This window comes from Homo sapiens, chromosome X, assembly GCF_000001405.40.
Source record: "Homo sapiens chromosome X, GRCh38.p14 Primary Assembly".
Classification (NCBI taxonomy): domain Eukaryota; kingdom Metazoa; phylum Chordata; class Mammalia; order Primates; family Hominidae; genus Homo; species Homo sapiens.
Genome location: NC_000023.11, coordinates 116,798,778 through 116,825,329, shown reverse-complemented (window position 1 = coordinate 116,825,329; position 26,552 = coordinate 116,798,778). Strand labels below are relative to the sequence as shown.

The 26,552-nt window shown below is 37.7% G+C and overlaps 1 long non-coding RNA gene across 1 annotated transcript, besides 3 other annotated features; it reads left to right on the top strand.

Moving 5' to 3' along the window:
• Window positions 6,825-7,627: an enhancer, noted in NCBI's record as "OCT4-NANOG-H3K27ac hESC enhancer chrX:115951671-115952473 (GRCh37/hg19 assembly coordinates)". NCBI's record gives its function as "activates a minimal SCP1, AML or CMV promoter by ChIP-STARR-seq in naive and primed H9 embryonic stem cells {active_cell/tissue: H9 hESC(naive and primed)}" and the evidence as "EXISTENCE:reporter gene assay evidence [ECO:0000049][PMID:30033119]".
• Window positions 7,470-14,399, top strand: LOC100126447 (uncharacterized). Its single transcript, NR_145523.1, has 2 exons — window positions 7,470-7,702; window positions 13,981-14,399. It is a non-coding gene; the product is annotated as an uncharacterized LOC100126447 (long non-coding RNA).
• Window positions 7,628-8,431: an enhancer, noted in NCBI's record as "NANOG-H3K27ac hESC enhancer chrX:115950867-115951670 (GRCh37/hg19 assembly coordinates)". NCBI's record gives its function as "activates a minimal SCP1, AML or CMV promoter by ChIP-STARR-seq in primed H9 embryonic stem cells {active_cell/tissue: H9 hESC(primed)}" and the evidence as "EXISTENCE:reporter gene assay evidence [ECO:0000049][PMID:30033119]".
• Window positions 12,310-13,086: an enhancer, noted in NCBI's record as "OCT4-NANOG-H3K27ac hESC enhancer chrX:115946212-115946988 (GRCh37/hg19 assembly coordinates)". NCBI's record gives its function as "activates a minimal SCP1, AML or CMV promoter by ChIP-STARR-seq in naive and primed H9 embryonic stem cells {active_cell/tissue: H9 hESC(naive and primed)}" and the evidence as "EXISTENCE:reporter gene assay evidence [ECO:0000049][PMID:30033119]".
• Window positions 14,400-26,552: the final 12,153 nt, after the last annotated feature.

Genomic DNA, 26,552 nt, shown 5'->3' with positions numbered 1-26,552 from the left:
TACTGAATTTTTTCAATATTATTTTTAATTGACAAATAGTAATTGTACATATTCATGGGATACATCATGACATTTTGATATATGTAATGTATAGTGATCAGATCAGGGTAATTACCATTGATAAATAAAAATTAAATTTTAAGCCCCCTCCCCTCCTCTTCCATTGGCCAAGGGAACTCCAGAGAAAAACTGTAAACTGAGTTCTTGCCATGATGGAATGGGAGGTCGGACAGGTCTCATTATGCCTCCTCCCACACTAATCACCATTAGGCTTTTTTTCCTAAGGGTTGAACAGAAACTAGCCCTTTCAAAAAACTAGCTGCACTGCTGATTTCAAACAACACCTCATGCTGCTCCTTCCTTTTGTGGCTTTGACAAAAGAACTGACCAGCATTCCTTCCTGATAAGAGATCACCAACCATGGAGTGGTTCTTGCCAGTCTACAGATGATGTGCACTAAAGGGGTATTGAGTCCTCTGCTTCACCTTCTGAAGTCAGAGGGCTGAAAACTCTACCCTTGGGTCATGCTAACACAACCATTTTTTTGAACATGAATCCCATGGAGGGAAATGAAGCTCAATTATACATATGCATGTTTCTTCTTTTATGACTCCTTCTATAGCTTATTGAATATATATATGTATATATTTAGCCACCTCCTTTAGCATAAATCCCTGTCTCATTCTTCCCACCCTCAAAGTGTCTGTTTCCAGATTCTGGCCAGAGGCTATGCTTCCCAGCCTGTTGGAATGGCCACTCTGCAGGCTGCAACCCTTTAAGAGAAGTAAGTTCCCCTTTCCAAATTTATGAACCTTGTCATTCTTCAGTTGACACCATATCCAGTATCTTAAACATTTGTTATTTATTTATGTTGGATACTTTCAATATCCTCCTTCTAGCTATTTGAAACTATATATTATTAACTATGGTTATCCTGTAGGATATATTTCAAGTATCCTCCTTCTAGCTATTCAAAACTATATATTATTAACTACAGTTATTAACTACAGTGCTATATAATGCTGGAACTTATTCCTCTTATCTAGCTGCAATTTTGTGTCCTTTAACAAATCTTTCCTTGTCCCTCCTTGCCTCCTATCCTTTCCACCCTCTAGTATTCTCTGTTCTGCTTTTCACTTCTATAAGGTCAGCTTTTTTTTTTAACTTCCACATATGAATGAGAATATCCACTGTTTAGCTTTCTGTTCCTGACACGTCTTTCACTTAACATATCCTCCAATTTTATCCATGTTGCCACAAATAAGAGGATTACATTTTTTTGTGGCCAAATAGTATTCCATTGTGAATATATACTCCATTTTTTATCCATTCATATGTTAATGAACATTAGGTTGGTTCCACATCTTCAGTATTGTGAATAGTGCTACAATAAACACGGAGGTGTAGATGAACCTTCATTATAATGACTTTCTCTCCTTTGGATACCTGCCCAGTACTGGGATTGCTGGTAGTTATATTTTATGGTAGTTATATGTATATATGGTAGTTATATTTTAATTTTTTAAGAACTTCATGCTGTTCTTCGTAGTGGCTGTACAAGTTTACATTCCCACCAACAGTGTATGAATCCCCTTTTCTCTGCATCCTTACCACAATTTACTATTTTTTGACTTTTTGATAATAGTCATCTTAACTGAATGAAATGATACTCAATTATGGTTTTGATTTGCATTTCCCTGATGATTAGTGATGTTGAGCATTTTATTTTTCATATATTTGTTGACCATTTGTATGTCTGCTTTTGAGAAATGTCTGGTCAGATCATTTGCTCATTTTTAATCAGATATTTTGTTGTTGTTGTTGACATGTTTGAGTTCATTGAAAGTTCTGGATATTAATCCTTTGTCAGACGAGTAGCTTGCAAAGATTCTTTTTCCATCCTATAGGCTGTCATTTCACTCTGTTGCTTGTTTGCTTTGCTGTGGAGAAGATTTTTAATTTGTTTTACTCTATTTATTTTTGCTTTCATTGCCTCTATTTTAAAGGTCTTATTCACAATTTTTTCCCCCAGGCCAATTTCCTGTAGCATTTTCTTTATGTTTTGTTCTTAAGCACTGCTTATTGACGAGACAATCCTTTCTTCAATGAATGTCCTTGGCACTATGTCAAAAATCAGTGGGCTGTAGATATGTCGATTAATGTTTATGTTACCTACTCTGCTCCATTGCCCTTTGTGTCTCTTTTTATGCTAGTATCATGCTGTTTTGGTTACTATAGCCTTGTAGTATAATTTGAGGTCTGAAAGTATGATACCTCCAGCTTTGTTCTTTTTGCTATGAATCACATTGGCTATTTGGAGTATTTTGTGGTTCCAAAATATTTTAGGATTTTTTCTAATTTTGTGAAGAATGTTATTGGTATTTTGATAAAGATTGCATTGAATCTGTGGATTGCTTTGGGTAATATTGTCATTTCAACAATATTAATTCTTCTAATCCATGAACATGAGATGTTTTTCTATTTGTTTTGTATCCTCTTCAATTTCTTGCAACAGTGTTTTGTAGTTTTCCTTAAAGAAGTCTTTCACCTTTTTGGTTACATTTATTCCTAGGTATTTTTGTAGCTATTACAAAGGGCATTGTCTTCTTGATTTCTTTTTCAGCTAGATTCTTGTTCGTGTGTGGAAAGCTACTAATTTTTGTTTATTAATTTTGTATCCTGCAACTTTACTGAATTCATTGATCAGTTCCAAGTGGGGTTCTTTGGTAGAATCTTTTGTTTTTTCTAGATATAAGATGATGTCATCTGCCAACAGGGACAATTTGACTTCTTCCTTTCCAATTTGGATGCACTTCATTTCTTTCTCTTGAATAATTGCTCTGGCAAATCTAACAATCCAGTAGACCCAATCTACCTTTTAAATATCTAATCTTTAACTAGAGCCTTCCATACATCCAGGCTCCAGACACATGGCCCCCAATGTTTAACAAGCAAGCAATATATGCTCTTATGGCCATGACTTCATTCTTGGCTCCTTGAACCATCTGAAATGCATTCCCTATCTGACAAAATTTCTTTTTACTTATTGACACTTACCTCAACTCAGCCTATATTAAACTCACACTGATTCTCTCAGTTGAAATTAAATAATTTTGTGTTAAGCACCCTGTAACACTTTACTTGAACTCTTATTATAACATGTTGACCATTTCAGAAGGAGCAGGTTGAGGAAGCATCTTATATCTTCTTGAGTGAATTCAAGTAGTTCGTGTTCGTGTCTTTCTAAGAATTTGTCTATTTCTTCCACGTTATTTAATTTGTTGGCATATAGTATTTCTAAAAATTCTTTTTTATTTTTGTATTTCTGTAAGGTTAGTTAGATTACTACCATTAGTCCCCCTTTCATCTGATTTCAGTAGTTTAGTAGTTGATTAGTCTAACTAAAGTTTAGGGTAAACACTTAAATATTATTTTGTCTTCACATATGTATGATTAATAATGTCTAATATTATACTCACTTAAAGTGACAGCTCTAATAATGCATGTGCAGTCTACAAAATTTGCCATTCATCCATACTGCATATCAAAATACCTGGCATTAGAAAGAATGAATTTAAAATCTGTTTATATTATCACAGCAATTTACAACATTAAATTTGTCAGTGAATGAACAAGAACAGATATTAGAGTAAAATTAATAATTTCAATGTTTGTAAAAATTTGAAAGGTAGTAAGAATAACATTTAATAAAAAAATCACCCACTTGTGCAAACCAGTTTTCTCTCATTAATGGTGATTATTAATAATTTGAACGGAGCATAGTAAATGGTCTTAAGCAGAAGCAGAATAATATGATTATTAATAATTTAAACAGAGCATAGTAAATGATCTTAAGCACTTTGAGCACAAAATATGTTATGAAAAGTTCCAGTTTGGGGCTATAATCAGCCTAGACCAGTCTACCCAACTAGAACATCTACAAAAACAAAAGGAAGAAAAAGAAACTGAGGCATTCAGGAATTGAGTGGCCAACATCACAGAGAAGAAAAAAGTCATTAAGGTATTGCCTCCCTTTCCAGCCACTTTTCTCTAATGTAATTTGCCAATTTACCACTCTGAGCTTGTAGGTCAAAGAGAAAAAAACTATGGGTTACAACTTGTGACTGTCTCACTGCTCTGTAGTGTAGTTGGAAGGTGAGTTAGTTTAGCCATTGTGAAAGCAGTAACAAATTCTGAAATAACTTTATTTTGTTTTCAAAAGAACATTTGAAAGTTACTTTCAGCTATTTAAAAATGTACAGTATATAATTTGTACAATGTGTAATTTGTACATGGTGTACTATGCTAGCCATATATATATATGCAACCTTTTGTTGCAGGTCAGCCATTCACTTGATAAGAACTTGTGTCTAAATTTCCAGAATTTCAGCTCTTTCTCTACAGGAGATAGGACTCTGATTCAGGGCAATCTTGAATATCTGAAGCTCAGCATCTGTTTCTGAAACTGGGAGTTTGAATCTCTGAGTCAAACTCAGAGAAAGATCTCAATCTTTCATCCGTTTGTCCAGTGAACTTAGGAGCAACCAACCAGATTCACTATGTTCCTTGGTTCTCCACATATAGTCAAAGGTATTACGTGTAGAGTCACTAAACACATTGCCTCTCACTAGCAGTGAATCAGGAGTGTCAAATGCATTTATTTTGCATAACTCTCTAAGCAGTTCATGCCAAGGACTGTCAGTGATCTCTATACAATTAGAAGTGGAGTCCTTAGCATTTTGGGATCTAATAATATTAAGCAGCCCACTGCAGGAACCCCAAAACCAGCAAATGAACTCCATCTTTAATATTCTGTTCTTCTAGAACCACTCCTGGTAGCAAAATCTCTATTAGTCAGGGTTCTCTAGAGGGACAGTACATATATACATACATATATATATATATGTATATATATGCATACACACACATAAAAATATACCCGTTGTCTGCAAGCTGAAAATCAAGGAAGCCAGTCCAAGTCCCAAAGCTGAAGATCTTGGAGTCTGATGTTTGAGGGCAGGAAGTATCCAACATGGGAGAAAGATGTAGGCTGGGAGGCTAAGCCAGTCTAGCCTTTTCACATTTTTCTTCCTGTTTTGTGTTCACTTGCAGCTGATTAGATGGTACCCACCCAGATTAAGAGTGAGTCTGCCTTCCCCAGCCCACTGAGTCAAATGTTAATCTCCTTTGGCAACACCCTCACAGACACAACCAGATCAATACTTTGCATCCTTGAAGCCAATCAAGTTGACACTCAGTCTTAACTATCATAATACGTTTGCATACATAATTTATATATGTATACATTGTGTGCAATGTAAAGTAAGGGTCCAAATTCAATCTTTTTCATGCTGGATATTCAGTTGTTTCAACACCATTTGTTGAAGAGACAATTATTTCACTATTGTAAAGCCTTGGTACCCTTGTAAAAGACTATTATACCATATGAATAAAAGCTTATTTCTGGGACCTCTATTCCATTTCATTGATCCATTTCTGTCTTATGCCAATATTATATTGTTGATTACTGTAGCTTTGTAATATGTTTCAAAATCAGGAAGTATGAGGATTACAGCTTCGTTTTATTTATTTATTTATTTTATTTTTTATTTTTTTTTGAGACAGAGTCTTGCTGTCGCCCAGGCTGGAGTGCAGTGGCGCGATCTCGGCTCACTGCAGGCTCTGCACCCCGGGTTTCACACCATTCTCCTACCTCAGCCTCCCCAGTAGCCGGGACTACAGGTGCCCGCCACCTCGCCTCGCTAATTTTTCTTGTATTTTTAGTAGAGACGGGGTTTCACCATGTTAGCCAGGATGGTCTTGATCTCCTGACCTCGTGATCCACCTGCCTTGGCCTCCCAAAGTGCTGGGATTACAGGCATGAGCCACACTTTGTTTTATTTTTTTTCCCTCAAGTGTGTTTTTGTTATCCAGGGTTCTTTGAGATTCCATATAGTTTTAAAACATTTTTTGTCTGTGTCTCAAAAAAATTCCATGGAGATTTTTCTATGGATTGCAATGAATCTATTAATTAGTGATTCAATCTTCTTACTAGTTATAAGTCGCTTCAGATTTTTTTATTTCTGCATAAGTCAGCATTGGTAGGTTGATGCTTCTAGAATACTCATTTCAAGGCTTTATGCATTCCTTCTAAGTTTTCCCATTTGTTAGAATGAAATTGTTATGGTAGTTTCTTATCATCCTTTTTCTTCTCTTGTGGCATAAGTTGTAATGCCTTCTCTTTCATTTCCAGTTTTATTTATTTGAATCTTATCTTTTTGTTTCTGTTCTAGCTATGGGTTTGTAAATTTAGTCTAACTTTAATAAAAACAGCACACAGTTTCATATTTTTCTATTGTTTTTCTATTCTTTATTTTGTTTATTTCTATTCTAATCTTTATTATTTCTTTGCATGAAGTTTGGTGCTTAGTTTACTTTTCTTTTTCTAGTTCCTCGTGGTATAAAGTTAGGTTGTTAATTTAAAATTTTTCTTCCTTTTAAATGCAGATATCCACTTTCTAAAATTTCCCTCTTAGTACTGATTTTGCTGCATCCCATAAGATTTGGTATATTGTATTTCTATTTTTATTTCTCTTAAGATTTTTAAATTAGTTGATATACCTAATGCTAAATGACGAGTTAATGGGTGCAGCACACCAACATGGCACATGTATACATATGTAACAAACCTGCACATTGTGCACATGTACCCTAAAACTTAAAGAATAATAAAAAGAAAAGAAAAAAAAAGAAATACTTCAAACAACTGGCCAAAATCACTATGTCAGCAAACCTTTTCATCAGAAGCTATAACAAATAGGTGAAATAGGATTTTTCATAAATGCTATGGCTTTCCATTTACTTAATCATTTCACAGATTTGCATAATTTAAATTAAGATTCTAGAGCACAAACATTTATTGTAAATTTTACCTTCTAATCATTCCGTTAAAATTGTAAATTTTACCTTCTAACCATTATCCCTCTGAAAACACTTTTGTTCCGAAATAAATACTTTTCACAAAAAAGATTATTACTGCTTTATCTTAGACAAACTCCCAAGAAGCAATCAATATATTTTCCTATTTTTAGTTGTATTCATATTTTTTGTCAGGCCTCTGAGCCCAAGCCAAGCCATCACATCCCCTGTGACCTGCACATATACGCCCAGATGGCCTGAAGTAACTAAAGAATCACAAAAGAAGTGAATATGCCCTGCCCCACCTTAACTGATGACATTCCACCACAAAAGAAGTGTAAATGGCCGGTCCTTGCCTTAACTGATGACATTACCTTGTGAAAGTCCTTTTCCTGGCTCATCCTGGCTCAAAAAGCACCCCCACTGAGCACCTTGCGACCCCCACTCCTGCCCGCCAGAGAACAAACCCCCTTTGACTGTAATTTTCCTTTACCTACCCAAATCCTATAAAACGGCCCCACCCTTATCTCCCTTCGCTGACTCTCTTTTCGGACTCAGCCCGCCTGCACCCAGGTGATTAAAGGCTTTATTGCTCACACAAAGCCTGTTTGGTGGTCTCTTCACACGGACGCGCATGAAATTTGGTGCCGTGACTCGGATCGGGGGACCTCCCTTGGGAGATCAATCCCGTCCTCCTGCTCTTTGCTCCATGAGAAAGATCCACCTACGACCTCAGGTCCTCAGACCGACCAGCCCAAGAAACATCTCACCAATTTCAAATCCGGTAAGCGGCCTCTTTTTACTCTCTTCTCCAACCTCCCTCACTATCCCTCAACCTCTTTCTCCTTTCAATCTTGGTGCCACACTTCAATCTCTCCCTTCTCTTAATTTCAATTCCTTTCATTTTCTGGTAGAGACAAAAGAGACATGTTTTATCCGTGAACCCAAAACTCCGGCGCCGGTCATGGACTGGGAAGGCAGCCTTCCCTTGGTGTTTAATCATTGCAGGGACACCTCTCTGATTATATACTCACATTTCAAGGGTGTCAGACCACACAGGGACGCCTGCCTTGGTCCTTCACCCTTAGCGGCAAGTCCCGCTTTCCTGTGGCAGGGGCAAGTACCCCTCAACCCCTTCTCCTTCACCCTTAGTGGCAAGTCCCGCTTTCCTGGGGCAGGGGCAAGTACCCCTCAACCCCTTCTCCTTCACCCTTAGCGGCAAGTCCCACTTTCCTAGGGGGCAAGAACCCCCCAATTGCTTATTTCCGCACCCCAACCTCTTATCTCTGAGCCCCAATCGCTTATTTCTGCACCCCAACCTCTTCCCTCTGCACCCCAATCCCTTATTTCTGCACCCTGACCTCTTTGTGCCCTAATCCCTTATTTCCATGTCCCAACCCTTTCTCTGCTTTTCTGGAGGGGAAGAAACCCCCACCCCTTCTCCGTGTCTCTACTCTTTTCTCTGGGCTTGCCTCTTTCACTATGGGCAAGCTTCCACCTTCCATTCCTCTTTCTTCTCCCTTAGCCTGTATCCTTAAGAACTTAAAACCTCTTCAATTCTCACCTGACCTAAAATCTAAGCGTCTTATTTTCTTCTGCAATGCTGCTTGACCCCAATACAAACTTAACAGTATTTCCAAATAGCTAGAAAATGGCACTTTCAATTTTTCCATCCTACAAGATCTAAATAATTCTTGTCGTAAAATGGGCAAATGGTCTGAGGTGCCTGACATCCAGGCATTCTTTTACACATCAGTCCCTTCCTAGTCTCTGTGCCCAGTGCAACTCGTCCCAAATCTTCCTTCTTTCCCTCCCGCCTGTCCCCTCAGTCCCAACCCCAAGCGTCACTGAGTCTTTCTAATCTTCCTTTTCTACAGACCCATCTGACCTCTCCCTTCCTCCCCAGGACGAGCTAGGTCCCGATTCTTCCTCAGCCTCCACTCCTCCACCCTATAATCTTTTTATCGCCTCCCCACCTCACACCTGCTCCAGCTTACAGTTTCATTCTGTGACTAGCCCTCCCCCACCAGCCCAACAATTTACTCTTAAAAAGGTGGCTGGAGCTAAAGGCATAGTCAAGGTTAATGCTCCTTTTTCTTTATCCCAAATCAGATAGCGTTTAGGCTCTTTTTCATCAAATATAAAAATCCAGCCCAGTTCATGACTTGTTTGGCAGCAAACCTGAGACGCTTTACAGCCCTAGACCCTAAAAGGTCAAAAGGCCATCTTATTCTCAATATACATTGTATTACCCAATCTGCTCCCCACATTAAATAAATCTCCAAAAACTGGAATCTGGCCCTCAAACCCCACAACAGGACTCAATTAACCTCACCTTCAAGGTGTGCAATAACAGAAAAAAGTTGCAATTCCTTGCCTCCACTGTGAGACAAACGCCAGCCACATCTCCAGCACACAAGAACTTCCAAACGCCTGAACTGTAGCAGCCAGGCGTTCCTCCAGAAACTCCTCCCCCAGGAACTTGCTACACATGCTGGAAATCTGGCCACTGGGCCAAGGAATGCCCGCAGCCCGGGATTCCTCCTAAGCCTCGTCCCATCTGAAAATCGGACTGTTCAACTCACCTGGCAGCCACTCCCAGAGCTCCTGGAACTCTGGCCCAAGGCTCTCTGACTGACTCCTTCTTGGCTTACCGGCTGAAGACTGACACCGCCCGATCGCCTCGGAAGCCTCCTAGACCATCACGGATGCCGAGCTTTAGGTAACTCTCACAGTGGAAGGTAAGCCCGTCCCCTTCTTAATCAATACGGAAGCTACTCACTCCACATTACCTTCTTTTCAAGGGCCTGTTTCCCTTGCCTCCATAACTGTTGTGGGTATTGACGGCCAGGCTTCTAAACCTCTTAAAACTCCCCAACTCTGGTGCCAACTTAGACAATACTCTTTTAAGCACTCCTTTTTAGTTATCCCCACCTGCCCAGTTCCCTTATTAGGCTGAGACACTTTAACTAAATTATCTGCTTCTCTGACTATTCCTGGGCTACAGCTGTATCTCATTGCCGCCCTTCTTCCCAATCCAAAGCCTCCTTTGCATCCTCCTCTTGTATCCCCCAACCTTAACCCACAAGTATAAGATACCTCTACTCCCTCCTTGGCGACCGATCATGCACCCCTTACCATCTCATTAAAACCTAATCACCCTTACCCCGCTCAACGCCAATATCCCATCCCACAGCACACTTTAAAAAGATTAAAGCCTGTTATCACTCGCCTGCTACAGCATGGCCTTTTAAAGCCTATAAACTCTCCTTACAATTCCCCCATTTTACCTGTCCTAAAACCAGACAAGCCTTACAAGTTAGTTCAGGATCTGCACCTTATCAACCAAATTGTTTTGCCTATCCACCCTGTGGTGCCAAACCCACATACTCTCCTATCCTCAATACCTGCCTCTACAACCCATTATTCTGTTCTAGATCTCAGACATGCTTTCTTTACTATTCCTTTGCACCTTAATCCCAGCCTCTCTTCACTTTCACTTGGACTGACCCTGACACCCATCAAGCTCAGCAAATTACCTAGGCTGTACTGCTGCAAAGCTTCACAGACAGCCCCCATTACTTCAATCAAGCCCAAATTTCTTCCTCATCTGTTACCTATCTCGGCATAATTCTCATAAAAACACACGTGCTCCCCCTGCCAATCATGTCCGACTGATCTCTCAAACCCCAGCACCTTCTACAACAACTCCTTTCCTTCCTAGGCATGGTTAGCGTGGTCAGAATTCTTACACAAGAGCCAGGACCACACCCTGTAGCCTTTCTGTCCAAACAACTTGACCTTACTGTTTTAGCCTAGCCCTCATGTCTGCGTGCAGTGGCTGCCGCTGCATTAATACTTTTAGAGGCCCTCAAAATCACAAACTATGCTCAACTCACTCTCTACAGTTCTCATAACTTCCAAAATCTATTTTCTTTCTCATACCTGATGCATATACTTTCTGCTTCCCGGCTCCTTCAGCTATACTCACTCTTTGTTGAGTTTCCCACAATTACTGTTGTTCCTGGCCCAGACTTCAATCTGGCCTCCCACATTATTCCTGATACCACACCTGACCCCCATGACTGTATCTCTCTGATCTACCTGACATTCACCCCATTTCCCCAAATTTCCTTCTTTCCTGTTCCTCACCCTGATCACACTTAATTTATTGATGGCAGTTCCACCAGGCCTAATCACCACACACCAGCAAAGGCAGGTTATGCTATAGTACAAGCCACTAGCCCGCCTCTTAGAACCTCTCATTTCCTTTCCATCGTGGAAATCTATCCTCAAGGAAATAACTTCTCAGTGTTCCATCTGCTATTCTACTACTCCTCAGGGATTATTCAGGCCCCCTGCCTTCCCTACACATCAAGCTCGAGGATTTGCCCCACCCAGGACTGGCAAATTAGCTTTACTCAACATGCCCTGAGTCAGATAACTAAAATACCTCTTAGTCTAGGTAGATACTTTCACTGGATAGGTAGAGGCCTTTCCTACAGGTTCTGAGAAGGCCACCGCAGTCATTTCTTCCCTTCTGTCAGACATAATTCCTCAGTTTAGCCTTCCCACCTCAATACAGTCTGATAACAGAAGGGACTTTATTAGTCAAAACAGCCAAGCAGTTTTTCAGGCTCTTAGTATTCAGTGAAACCTTTATATCCCTTACGGTCCTCCATCTTCAAGAAAAGTAGAATGGACTAAAGGTCTTTTAAAAACACACCTCACCAAGCTCAGCCACCAACTTAAAAAGGACTGGACAATACTTTTACCACTTTCCCTTCTCAGAATTCAGGCCTGTCCTTGGAATGCTACAGGGTACAGCCCATTTGAGCTCCTGTATAGACGCTCCTTTTTATTAGGCCCCAGTCTCATTCTAGACACCAGACCAACTCAGACTGTGCCCCAAAAAAACTTGTCATCCCTACTATCTTCTGTCTAGTCATACTCCTATTCACCGTTCTCAACTACTCATACATGCCCTGCTCTTGTTTACACTGCCAGTTTACACTGCTTTTCCAAGCCATCACAGCTGATATCTCCTGGTGCTATCCCCAGACTGCCACTCTTAACTCTTGAAGTAAATAAATAATCTTTGCTGGCAGGACTATGCTGAATCTCCTTAAGCACTCTCTAATCAGATATCCTGAGTCATCCCAATTCTTAGACATTTTATACCTGTTTTTCTCCTTCTGTTATTCCATTTAGTTTCTCAATTCATCCAAAACTGTATCCAGGCCATCATCAATCATTCTATATGACAACTGTTTCTTCTAACATCCCCACAATATCACCCCTTACCACAAGACCTCCCTTCAGCTTAATCTCTCCCACTCTAGGTTCCCACGCCGCCCCTAATCCCGCTTGAAGCAGCCCTGAGAAACATCGCCCATTCTCTCTCCATACCACCCCCCAAAAATTTTCGCCGCCCCAACACTTCAACACTATTTTGTTTTATTTTTCTTATTAAGAAGGCAGGAATGTCAGGCCTCTGAGCCCAAGCCAAGCCATCACATCCCCTGTGACCTGCACATATACGCCCAGATGGCCTGAAGTAACTAAAGAATCACAAAAGAAGTGAATATGCCCTGCCCCGCCTTAACTGATGACATTCCACCACAAAAGAAGTGTAAATGGCCAGTCCTTGCCTTAACTGATGACATTACCTTGTGAAAGTCCTTTTCCTGGCTCATCCTGGCTCAAAAATCACCCCCACTGAGCACCTTGCGACCCCCACTCCTGCCCACTGAGCACCTTGCGACCCCCACTCCTACCTGCCAGAGAACAAACTCCCTTTGACTGTAATTTTCCTTTACCTACCCAAATCCTATAAAACGGCCCCACCCTTATCTCCCTTCGCTGACTCTTTTTTCGGACTCAGCCCGCCTGCACCCAGGTGATTAAAAGCTTTATTGCTCACACAAAGCCTGTTTGGTGGTCTCTTCACAGGGACGTGCATGAAATTTTTCATATTTGACCCATGGATTGTTCAAGAGTACATTGTTTAATTTCCACAAATATGTGAATGCCCAGGTTCTCTATTGATAAGACTTGTTTTGTGTCCTTACATGTAATCTATTCTGGCTAATGTTCCAACTGCAGTTTAGAAAAATGTGTATTTTTCCAATGAGTGTGTGTGGAGTGTTCTGTATATCTGTTAGGTTTATTTGGTCTATATTGTTTATCTTGTCTTCTACTTTCTTATTATCTTGTCTCTGGTTGACCTATCCAGTTAAAAGAGAAAGGACATAAATGCTACCACTACATGAAACAACCAAACGAAAATCATGAATAAGCGGGTAAGAAAAGAACACAGGATTAAATTAATTTTTTGTTTGTTTTGTATATCCTGTGTTCTTTTCTTTAATTCTCAGTTATAAGTGGAAGCTAAGCTATGGGAATACAAAGGCATAGAGAGTGATGTAATAGACTATGAAAACTCAGAGGTGGCATGGTAGAGGAGGGGTGAGGAATAAAAAAACTACATATTGGGTACAATGTACAACACTTGGATGCACTAAAATATCAGCCTTCCACTATATAATTTATCCATGTAATGGAAAACCATTTGTACCCCCAAGAGCTATTGAAGTTTTAAAAATATATTTAAAAGCAAATTGTTATAGGTAGAGACAGCTTGGTTAAAAGCCAATTTTGTTGCTAAGGGGCTTCCCATTCCTTTTAAATTCCTTTTAAATTTCAGTAAAACACCAAAACAGGCTTTAGATTTTGAATCTGAAAGTCTGTTATTGAGAGAAAGTACATGTCATGCATAAGTTTCATTACCACAGAGATAAATATGTTAGCCAATACGACTGAGAATCAGAAGGTGGAATTGAAATGGAGGTAGAAGACAGAGAGATCAAGAGGAACAGAGAGATTGAGATACCAAAAAAGACAAATAAAAATACCAGAGCACCCAAGAAAAATAGAGTAGAAGAGAACAGTCATAAGGAAGTATGATTGGAATTTATACAATTGCTTCCAGCAAATTCCCTTTTGAAAGCAAGATTATTCACAAAGTTCTTTCTTAAGATTTTTTTTTTTTTACTTTATCAGGTAAGAAAAGAAGGTTTATTCAGTATGAAAGGCATGCAGGATTTTTTTCTTCTTAAATTGAACTTTACTGTCACGGAAGAAGCAGCTCATACAGAGAATGACAGCGTACAAACCTGCATAAAAGAAAACTTGATTGTCAAAAGTAGAAGGATTTGATTCAACCGGGTGTTCGAGAGGCAGGTGTGTGTGCTTTTTAGTGGAGGTAAGGCCTTGACATGTTTGGTACAAGTGTAGCTAAAGAAAACAATCCATTCATGAGGAAGCTCTTGCCCAAAAACATGAGGAGTCAGCAGAAGAGAAGTCACATTTCCTTTTTTTATTGTATTTTTCTCCTCTCCTAAGAATAATCTCTTCTCAGATAACCCATCTGCAAAATGTAATTTAAATAAATGGATCTGTCCTAAAATTACATGAATTCCAAAGAAAATAAACCATCTGAAATTTTTATTCCTATAATTCAACATCTGTTGTTTTTCTTTTCACTTTTTCTTGAACACAGGAAAAATTTCACTCCTGGGCTGAATGAAACATTTCATAACAAATTTTTTATAGAAGGATTTTTTAATACTTGAATGATTGGACTATAAAATGAGAAATTCTAAATTAATTTTGGGATAAAGCTAAAATGTATCATTTAGTTTCTCCCATCTTTTTCTGGGAAATAGCTTTCATTATCTTTGCCTTAACTATTCCACGATCCTCCTTCTGCAGTGTTCCAAAAATGTTTACCTTGGCTACTGAAATGTTGGTTTAAATTTATGGGCTTGCTTGATTACTAATCTTAATTTGAAATGTAAATTTAAGTTTGATATGGTAGCTGTGGCCAGGAGGTAGGGAAGGATGCTAGGGAAGAAAGAATAGAATATATGTTGGGTAGAATATGATATTTCAGAAAGCATAATAGAAATTAGCATTTGTCTCAAGAATTCCTACTGCATGCATTTAATGTACCACTATATATGGTATTTAAAAATATATATTGTTTGGTATTGTAGCTAATTCTATATTTGGCTAAGCTCTGTTACTAGACTGAAAACTACAAATGTATAAAAAGGAGAATTTTATACACTCTACCTACAATATTATCTGGCACATACACATAAAAGAAGCTTCATAAATGTCTGTTAAATGAAGGAAGAAAAGATGGAAGAAGAGATGGAAAGAGGAAAGGAGCAAAGGAGATAGGGAGGTTATAAAAGGAATTGGCAGCTATACCTACGTGGAGATGATAATATAAACATTATATCAATGTCCTCCAAATAAAAGAATCAATTGAAGATGCATCTTTTTTCTTTCCTAATCTTCTTTTGTCTTCTACTTCCACCTTATTTGCCTCCCAACAAACAAGCAAAAAAGTAATCAAATAATGCAATGAATGGATAAAGGTGAACAACAATTTTAAAAAATCAGTAACATTTTGTTATGGAATTACTTTTGATATAGTAATTCTCAGCTTAACTTGCAGTTTTTCTACTGTTTTCATCAGCTCATATTGAACTCTTTCTATTTTGACAGTACTAATGCTTTATGCCATATATTTATACTTATTGTATAAATCTTGCATTCCTTTTTATGCCACTATGTTCTGTCTAGCTAAATATATTGAAAATTTTTGCAGATATTAGACAGAATAGCATTCTTGTATTTCTTCATATCGCCAAGCATGATGCATTGGAGTAGCAGTCACTCAGTAAATGTAAATAATTTTTAAATTAAAATAATATATAGCATGGTTTCTATTTATGCTAAAAAAAAAGGCTACCTATATTATTCTCATTTCTTTTCTTTTACTGCTAAAAAAAATCCTGGACAAATTACAATAGTAAAGTCTAGGAAGATTCTAAAATGTGGGAAAAGGATGTGCTGCCTGGAGACATGGGGCTTGAGAAATGATATGGTTGTCAGTTCCTTGGCTTTCCTTATTGCCTCCCAAATATCAAGGACAAGGTTCTGTGAAATCTTCCAATCTGGAATTACTATTTGGCATAGACAAAATAAAAAAGCTACAAGAAAAACCTGTTTCTCCTACAAAAGAAACAGGAAAAAACATGACCAAATAACAGAAAATTTCTGGGAATTCTCACACTACTCCAGCCAAACACCAACAAAAATACCACATGCTACTTCCCTGTGGTCTCAGTAGTGCTGAATGGGTAGTAGTTGATCTTCCAGTCTATCCCTGACTCCAACATAAGTAGATAGCAACTCTTTCACTTTCCACCCAGTGGTGTCTGCAGGACCAACTAGGGAGGTAAACTTACAACTACCACCTGGTAGAAGACAGCAGTTCTCTAATTCCCAGACCAGGGTAGTGTAAATGGGATTCAGAAGCAAATAAAACTTTTACTCCCACTGGGCAACAAAGAGACTCATTAAGGGGAGGTGAAGTAGGGGTAGTTACCACTATGCTCCACTTCTTCTCCTCCCTCACATCAGCAGGGCTCAGAGGCAATCTGAGCCTCCACCCTCACATGGAATCAGTAAGACTGAACAAAACTGTTTGAGCAGGGGCTACAACGGTTTCCAATTTGTCTTAACACTTTCTCCCATGTCAGCTAGGCCCAATGGAAATCTGCACCTCTATATGTACCAGGCATCAACAAGGCAGAATGAAATGATGTCAGGCAGGGCAGTTGAAATTCCACCCTATACCACCTCTGATTTCAGCAGAGCCCAGTGGGGAGCTAAGCTTACACTCATATTCCAAGGCAGTAAGACTGCACAAATTAATGTTTCACTTTGCTAGGGAAGTGTCAAATGTGGTTGAATAGGTAGCTGAACTTTCACCTTACTCCTTTTCAATCTGGAATCATAAGTCAGTAGTCCACTTTTGACAGGGTGGTATTGGCAGAGCCAAGTGGGAAGCTGAATATGCAAACAAACCTGGTCCTTCTCCTATACCTCAACAAAGTAACTGCCTACAATAACAGAAGATAAACTAAAATTCTGAATCTCATAATATGTAAAATATCCAGGACACAATCACATATAATACCAAGAGCTAGTAAAATCACAATATGAATGAGAAAAGACAATTAACAGACACCAGCACCAAGATAAATTAAATGTCATAAATTTCTGAAAACAATTTAAAGAAGCCATAATAACAATGCTTCAATGAAAAATTATTAACATTCTTGAAAAAAATAAAGGAAAAAGAAAATCTCAGCAAAGTCCTGGGTGTTATAAAAAATAAGATGAAACTTATTTAACAGAAAAACACAATAACAAAACAATTTCTATGAATAAACTCAGTATTACAGTGGATGTGACAAAGGATTAAATCAGTTACCAGAGCACAAATCAATGAAATTCACTTAATCTGAAAAACAGAGAGAAGTAGACTGAAATAAGTATCTTAATAACCTTTGAGACAATGACCAAAAAACCTATTATTTATATCACTAGTGTCCGAGAAATAGATGAGTGTGAAATTGAAAGAATACATTTAAAGAAATAATAATTTAAAACTTTCCAAATATGGCAAAAGCCATTAATCTACAAATTATAGAAGCTGAGTAAATTCCAAAAAAGATAAGCATAAAGAAATCCACACAAAGACATATTATAATTAAAATTCAGAATGGACAAAGGAAAAATCCTGTAAGCAGGCAGAAGTGATATATTACTTGTAGAACAGTACCAATTACAATGACAACAGACTTCACATCTGCAACCACAGAAAAAGAAGGAAGTGGCACAAAATTATTCAAGTGCCAAAAGAAAAGGACTATCAGCTGAAATGTCAAAGTCTGTATCTGGCAAAAATATCATTCACAAGTGAGGAGGAAATAAAGGCATTCTCAGACAGACGAAGAAAAACTAAAATAATTTGCCACTAGCAGACCTGCCTTTAGAGAACACCAAAAGAAGGATCTTTAAATAGGACTAATATGATAAAGGAAGAAAACTGGAATATTCAGATAACAGAAGAACAGAAAGAGCAAATATATGAGTAAACATAGTGACTTCTCCATGTGAGTTCTCTAATCATATAGGATAATTGAAAAAAATACATCACGTGAAATATGTAACAATCATGTTTTAAATGGGGAAGATAAAGAAATCTAAAATAAAGTAAGGTTTCCAAACTTCTCTTGAATGCAAAATTGTTTATTCCAGTAGACTGTAAGTTACATGTGTATTTTAATAACCACAAAACCAGTAAGAAAACTACACTAAGTGATAAACTGCCAAAACATTATAAATATATCAAGCTGCAATTCTAATATAAATGGTCAAAAAGTTCATGGAAAGAGGGCGGAGTAAGATGGTGCAACAGAAGTCTACACTGTTCATCCCCACCTCCACCCACTGGAACACCAAATGTTAAAAAGTATCTGCACACAGAAAAGTACCGTCATAAGAACAATAAATCAGTTCAGCAAACACAGTATCTGGTTTTAGCTTCGTATTGCTAAAAGAGACAATGAGGATGGCAGGGGAGACAGTCTTGAATTGTGTATGTCACCCCTCTCCCACACCGTCCAGAAGCAGCTGAGTGGCACAAAGAGAAAATCTGTGCGCATCAAGGAGAGACAGCACAGTGACTGGGGGACTTTACATGGAATTCAGTGCTGCACTGTCACAGCAGTGAAGAAAGTCATGCCAGCACTCATGTATGGAGGGAGCATTTGGATCAGCCCTAGCCAGAGGGGAATTGCCTATACCAGGGAGTTGGTACTGAGTTCCTCATCAAGCCTCACACCATGGGATGAAGTGCTCTGGGGTCCTAGGTAAACTTGAAAGGCAGTCTGAGACACAAAGATGGAAATTCCTAGCAACTTCTAGTGCTAAGCTGGGCTGAGAGTAAGTGGACTAGGGTGGCATATGACCTAGGGAGACACCAGCTAGCAAGACCAAAGAAGTGCTTGTGCTCACCCTCCCCCAACCTCAGGTAGTGCAGCTCACAGCAATGAAAGTGGCTCCTTTTTTTCTGCTTAAGAGAAGACAGTAAAGAGTAGAAGGGACTTTGTCTTGCATCTTAGATACCAGCTCAACCACAGCAGGATAGGGTACCGCCCAGAGTCACAAGGACCCTATTTAAGGACCTAGCTCACAGATGACACTTCTAGACACACCCTGGGCCAAAAGGAAACCCACTACCTTGGAGAAAAGGATTCAGCCCTGGCAGGATTTATCACCTGATTAAAGAACTGTGAATGAATAACCAGCAGTGATACCCAGGTAGTACATCGTGGGCCTCAGGTGAGACTCAGACTTACTGGCTTTAGCTGTGACCCAGCACATTCCCAGCTGTGGTGAAAATGTGGTGAAATGTGAGGAAAGTCTCCTTCTGTTAGAGAAAAGCAGAGGAAAAAGTAAAGGGGACTTTGTCATGTAGCTCAGCCACAGTGGGGTAGAGCAACAAGCAGGCTCTTGGGGTCCCCAATCCCAGACCTAGGTTCTAGGAAACCATTTCTAAACCTGCTCTAGGCCAGAGGGGAGCCCACTGCCCAGAAGGGTGAGTCCCAGACAGAAGAGCCCTTGGGCTTTAAGTGAATATCAGCAGGTGCCTAGTGGAACCCCCAGTGGAACAGTGGTAATGGTGGATGCAGACAGGGGTTTCTATCCCTGTGGAAAGGGGAGGGAAAGGAAAGAAAAACTTTGCATTGTAGTTTGAGAGCAAGCTTAGGTACAGTAGAATAGAACATCAGGAAAACTGTTAAGGATTTTGAACCCAATCCTTGGCTCACAGACAGCATCACTGGACATGCCAGGTTCCTGGGAGAACTAGTGGCCCTAAAAGGAAGGGCCTTGGGCAAAAACCAGTGCATTGCTGGCATCAGGTCTGGCTCAGTATAGGTTAGCAATGGTGGCCAGAGGCGTTGGCATCACCACACCCCCACTTCCAGGTGTCTCAGCACAGAAAAATGAGATTTTATATGCTTGGAAGAATATTAAAAAAATAAAAAGAGTTTTTTTCTGGTAATCCAGATAATTCTTCTGAATCTTATCCAAGACCACCATAGTGGTACCTCTGTGATTCTAAAGAAACCACAGTGTTATTGGGTTGGGGACAAAGTGCCTTTAAATACTTGGAAAGCCTTCCCAAGAAGGACGGGCACAAATTAGTCCAGATTAATGCCCAGACACTGATGAACGTCTACAAGCATCACCTCCATACAGGAAAACATGACCTCACCAAATGAACTAAATAAGGCACCAGAAAAAATCCTAAAGAGAAAGATATATGACCTTGAAGAAAAAGAACCCAAAATAGCTGTTTTGAGGAAACTCAAAGAAATTCATGATAACACAGAGAAGGAGTTCAGAATTCTATCAGATAAATTTAACAAAGGAATTGAAATTATTGAAAAGAATCAGGCACAAATTTTGGAGATGAAAGAGTCAATTGACATGTGGAAGAATGCATCAGAATCTTAACAGAAGAATTTTTGAAGCAAAAAAAAAGAGTAAGCTTGAAGACAGGCTATTTGAAAATACATAGTCAGAAGAGAGAAAAGAAAAAAATTATTAAACACGCCTACAGGATATAGAAAATAGCCTCAAATGGGCAAAGCTAAGAGTTATTGGCCTTAAAGAAGAGGTGGAGAAAGAGATAGGGATAAAGAGTTTATTCAGGAAGATAAAAACACAGAAAACCTCAAATCTACAGAATGATATCAAGATTAAAGTACAACAAGGTTATAGAACACCAAGTATATTTAATTAAAAGAAGAATATCTTAAGGCATTTAATACCCAAACTTCCAAAGTCAAGGATAAAGAAAGGATCCTAGAAGCAGCAAGTAAAAAGAAACAAATAACTTACAATGCAGCCCCAATATGTCTGGAAGAAGTCTTTCCAGTAGAGACCTTACAGGTCAGGTAAAAGAGGCATGACATATTTAAAGTGCTGAAGAAAAAAAAGACAAAAGACTTTTACCCAAGACTACTGTAGCCAGCAAAAATATCCTTCAAGCATTAAATACAAATAAAGATCTTCCCAGGAAGAGAAAAGCTAAAGGATTTCATCAACAGCAGACCTGTCCTACAAGAAATAAAATGAGTTCTTCAATTTGAAATAAAATGATGGTAATGAGCTAGAAAAAAATCATCTGAAGATACAAAACTTTCAAGTAATAGTAAGCACACAGAAAAACAGAATCGTATAACACTGTAATGGTGCTGTGTAAACTACTCTTGTCTTAAGTAGAATGACTACAATAAACCAATCAAAATTAATAACTACAACACCTTTTCAAAACATATGCAGTAAATTAAGACATAAAGAGAAACAACAAAATACTAAAAAGTGGGGATACAAAGTTAAAATGTAGAGTTTTATCAGTTTTTATTTTATGCTTTTGTTTGTTTAGGCAATCAGTGTTGTCATCAGTTTAAAATAATGGATTATAAGATAGTATGTGCAAGAATCATGGTTACTTCAAATCAAAAGATACAAGAGATACACAAAAAATTAGAAATAAATAAATTTTAAAAATTAAAGTATACCACCAGAGAAAATTATATTCACTAAAATCAAGACAGGAAAGAAGGAAAAAAAGGAAGAGGAGACCATAAAACATTCAGAAAACGAATAATAACAAGGAAAGAGTAAGTTCTTAATAACAACATTGAAAGTAAATGGACTAAAGACTCCAATAAAAAGACACTAAGTGGCTGAATGGATGGCAAAACAGGACCCAATTATCTGTTGCCTACAGGAAACACACTTTACCTGTAAAGATACATGCAGACTGAAAATAGATAAAAAATGATATTCCATACCAAAGAGAGCAAAAAAAACTACTTATATTATAAAAAACATAAGTAGCTATACTTAGACAAAATAGATTTCAAGACAAAAACTGTAAGAAGAGACAAAGATGGTCATTACATAATGACAGAGGCCAATTCAGCAAGAGGATATAAAAATTACAAAAATATATGCACCAAACACTGAAGCAACCAGATATATAAAGGGAATGTTATTAGAGCAAAAGAGAGAGAGAGAGACCCCAGTACAATACCTGGAGACTTCAACATCCCACTTTCAGCATTGGATCAATCTCCTGGACAGAAACTAAATAAGTAAACATCAGACTTAATCTGAACTATAGAAAAAATATACTTAATAGATATTTACAGAATATTTCATCCAATGAGTAAAAAATACACATTTTTCTCCTCAACATATATGTCATTCTCAAGGATAGGACATATGTTAGGTCACAAAACAAGTCTTAAAACATTTAAAAAAATTAAAATAATATCAAGCATCTTTTCTGATCACAATGAAATAAAACTAGAAATCAATAAAAAGAGGAATTTTGGAAAATATAAAAACACAGAAGTTAAACAACATTCTTCTGAATGAACGGTCAATTAGGAAATTGAAAACTCTTGAAACAAATGACAATGAAAACACAACATACCAACACCTATGAGATACAGTGAAAGCAGTACCAAGAAGAAAATTTATAGCTATAAGTGCCTGCATCAAAAAAACTTCAAAAACCTAATGATGTACCTTAAAGAACTAGAAAAGCAAGAGAAAAGTGAACCCAAATTAGTAGATTAAAAGAAATAACAAGGATAAGAGCAGAAATAAATGAATTTGACATAAAGAAAACAATACAAGAATGAAGCAAAATGTTGGCTTTTTGAAATGATAAAAAAACTGACAAATCATTAGCCAGACTAAATGAGAAATGAGAGAATACCCAAATAAAATCAGAGATGAAAAAGGAAACATCACAACTGATAACATGTAAATTTAAAGGATTATTACTGACTATGATAAAGAACTATGTTACAATAAATTTGAAAATTTAAAAAAATGAATTCTGAGACACATACAACATACCAAGAATGGATCATGAAGAAATTTAAAACCTGAATAGACAAATGAGTAACAAGTTTGAAGCCATAATAAAAATTTCCCAGTAAAGGAAAGTGCAGGACCTAATGGCTTCACTGCTTAATTCCAACAAACATTTAAACAAGAAGTAATACCAATTCTATTCCAACTGTTCCAAAAAATAGAGGAAGAAGGAATACTTCCATACTTATTCTGCAGGGTCACTATTGTCCTGGTAATTAATCCAGACAAAAATACATAAAAAAACAAACAACTACAGGCCAGTGATGATGAATATCTCTGATGAATATAGAGGCAAAAATCATCAACAAAATCTAGCAAGACAAATTCAACAATACCTTAAAAAATCATTCATTATGACCATGTGGTATTTATCCTATGATGCAATAATCTTTAACATATGCACATCAATCAGTGCAATATATTATATCAATACAATAAAAGACAAAAACCATATGACCTTTTCCATTGTAACTGAAGAGCATTTGATAAAATTCAACATCCCTTCATAATAAAAACCTTCAAAAAACTGGGTATAGAAGGATCATACCTCAACATAATAAAAGCCATATAAGACAGACTCACAGCTAATATCATACTGAGTGAGAAAAAGCTTAAAGCCTTTCACCTAAGATTGGGAACATGAAAAGGATGCCCACATTCACCACTGTTATTCAACATAGTACTGGAAGATCAGCTAGAGCAATTTGATGAAAGAAAGAAAGGGCATCCAAATTAGAAAGAAAGAGGTCAAATTATCTTAGTTTACAAATTATATGAGCTTATATTTAGAAAAACCTAAAGATTTCACCAATAAAACCATGATAACTGACAAATTCAGTGAAGTTGCAGGTTTAAAAATCAACATAAAATTCATAGCATTTCTATAACCCAACGTTGAACAATTTGAAAAACAAAGTAATCAAATTAACAATAGCCACACATAAAATTAAACACTTAACAATTAATTTAACCAAACAAGTGAAAGATCTCTACAGTGTAAACTATAGAACACTGATAAAAAACATTGAAGATGACACAAAAAATAGAAAGGTACTCCATATTTATGAATTGGAAGAATCAATGTTATTAAAATTTTTGTACTACCCAAAGAAATCCACTAATTCAATGAAATTCATGTCAAAATTCCAATGCATTCTTCACACAAATAGAAAAAAAACCCATAATTTTAAAATGTAGGTGGAACTACAGAAGACCCAGAATAGCCAAATCTATTATAAGCAAAAAGAACAAAACTGGAGAAATCACATTACCTGACTTCAATTTATACTACAGAGTTATAGTAACCAAAATGGCATGGTACTGACATAAAAATAGACACACACACCAGTGGAGCAGAATAGATAACTCAGAAACAAATCCACACACCTACAGTGAACTCATTTTCAATAAATATGCCAAGAATGTACACTGGGGACAAGACAGTCTCTTTAATAAATTATGCTGGGAAAACTGGATATCCAAATGCAGAAGAATAAAACTAGACCCTTCTCTTTCACCAAAAATCAAATCAAACTTAATTCAAGACTTAAATCTAAGACCTCAAAGTATGAAACTACTAAAATAAAACATTGAGAAAACTCTCCAGGACATTAGTCTCAGCAAAAATGTCTTGAGTAATACCCTACAAGCACAGGCAACCAAAGCACAAATGGACAAATGGAACCACATCAAGTTAGAAAGCTTCTTCACAGAAAAAAAAGTTAATAAAGTGAGGAGAAAACCCACAGAATGGGCCAAAACTTTTGCGAACTATCCATCTAACAAAGGAGTAATAAATAGACTATATAAGGAGCTTCAACAACTCTATAAAAATTAATAATCTGATTAAAAATGGGTAAAAGATTTGAATAAACATTTTTCAAGAAAGCACACAAATGGCAAACAGGTATGAAGGTGCTTATTATCATTGATCGTCAGAGAAAGGCAAATCAATACTACAATAAAATATCATCTCACCCTAGTTAAAATGGTTTATATTCAAAGGACAGGCAATAACAAATGCTGGTGAGGTTGTGGAGAGGAGAGAACCCTCATATACTATTGGTGGCCATATAAATTAGAGCAACCACTATGGAGAACAGTTGGAAGTTTTCTCAAAAAAACTAAAAATAAAGCTACCATACAAGCCAGTAGTCCCACTGCTGGGTATATACCCAAAAGAAAGGAAATCAGTATATTGAAAATATATCTGCTCCCCCGTGTTTGTTGCAGCACTGTTGAAAATAGCCACAAATTGGAAGTAACCTAAGTGTCCATCAATAGATGAATGGATAATGAAAATATACAGAATGGAGTACTATTCAACCATAAAGATAAATGAGATCTTTTCATTTGCAACAATGTGAGTGGAACTGGTGATTATTATTTTAAATCAAATAAGCCAGGCACAGAAAGACAAACATCACATGTTCTCACTTATTTATGTGATGTAAAGAGGGAAACAAATGAACCCATGCATATAGAGAACAGAAGGATTGTTTTCAGAGGCTGAGAAGATTAGTGGGGGTTTGGGAGGAAATGGGGACGGTTAATAGATACAACAAAATAGAAAGACCTAGTAATTGATAGCACAACAGAGGGATAATAGTCAATAATTATTTAATTGTACATTTAAAAACAACTGAAAGAACTGGATTGGTTGTAACACAAATTTAAATGCTTGAGGATATTGATACCCCTTTTTCTATGTTGTGATTATTATGCACTGCATTCATGTACCGAAATGGTGTGTACTCCACAGGGAGTACTTCCAGGCTGTTGCAGATGTACGCTTAAGTCCTAAGGGTTCTTGGATCAGCTTTTAGTGAATACTGCCTGGCTTGGTACTCACCCTTCTGGTCATTGGGTTTTTTGTTTTTCTGGCCAATTGCAGCTCCAAAAATGCTAAAGCCAAGGCCTAGAATCAGGGCACCCATAGCTCACTTCATGCCCTACCCCCCCCCCCCTTGGCAGAGCTGGTACCTACTGTGCAAGACAAAGTTCTCTTTAATTTTCTCTCACTTTTCTCAAGCAGGAAGCATCTCTCACCTTAGCCACCAAAGCTGGGAATGTACTGAGCCTCACCTGAAGCCAACAAGTCTAACCCAAGGCCCAGGACATACATCCTTGGTATTGTTGCTAGTTGTTGAAGGCCCAAGGGCTCTTTAGTTAGCAGGTGATGAATACTGCCAGGAATGAGTTCTTCACAGCTGAATTCTACCAGAAATACAAAGAGGAGCTGGTACCATTCCTTCTGAAACTATTCCAAACAATTGAAAAGGAGGGACTCCTCCCTAACTCATTTTATAAAGCCAGCATCATCTTGATACCAAAACCGGAAAGAGAGAGCAAAACAAACGAACAAACAAAAAAACATTCAGGCCAATATCCCTGATGAACATTGATGCAAAAATCCTTAATAAAACACTGGCAAAATGAATCCAGCAGCATATAAAAAATTTATCCACCACAATCAAGTCGGCTTCATCCCTGGGATACAAGGCTGGTTTAACATACACAAATCAATAAACATAATCCATCACATAAACAGAATCAATGACAAAACCACATGATTATCTCAACAGAGGCAGAAGGCCTTTGATAAAATTCAGCATCCCTTCATGTTAAAAACTCTCAATAAACTAGGTATTGATGGAATATATCTCAAACTAATAAGTGCTATTTATAACAGGCAAAAGCTGGAAGCATTCCCTTTGAAAACCAGTGCAAGACAAGGATGCCCT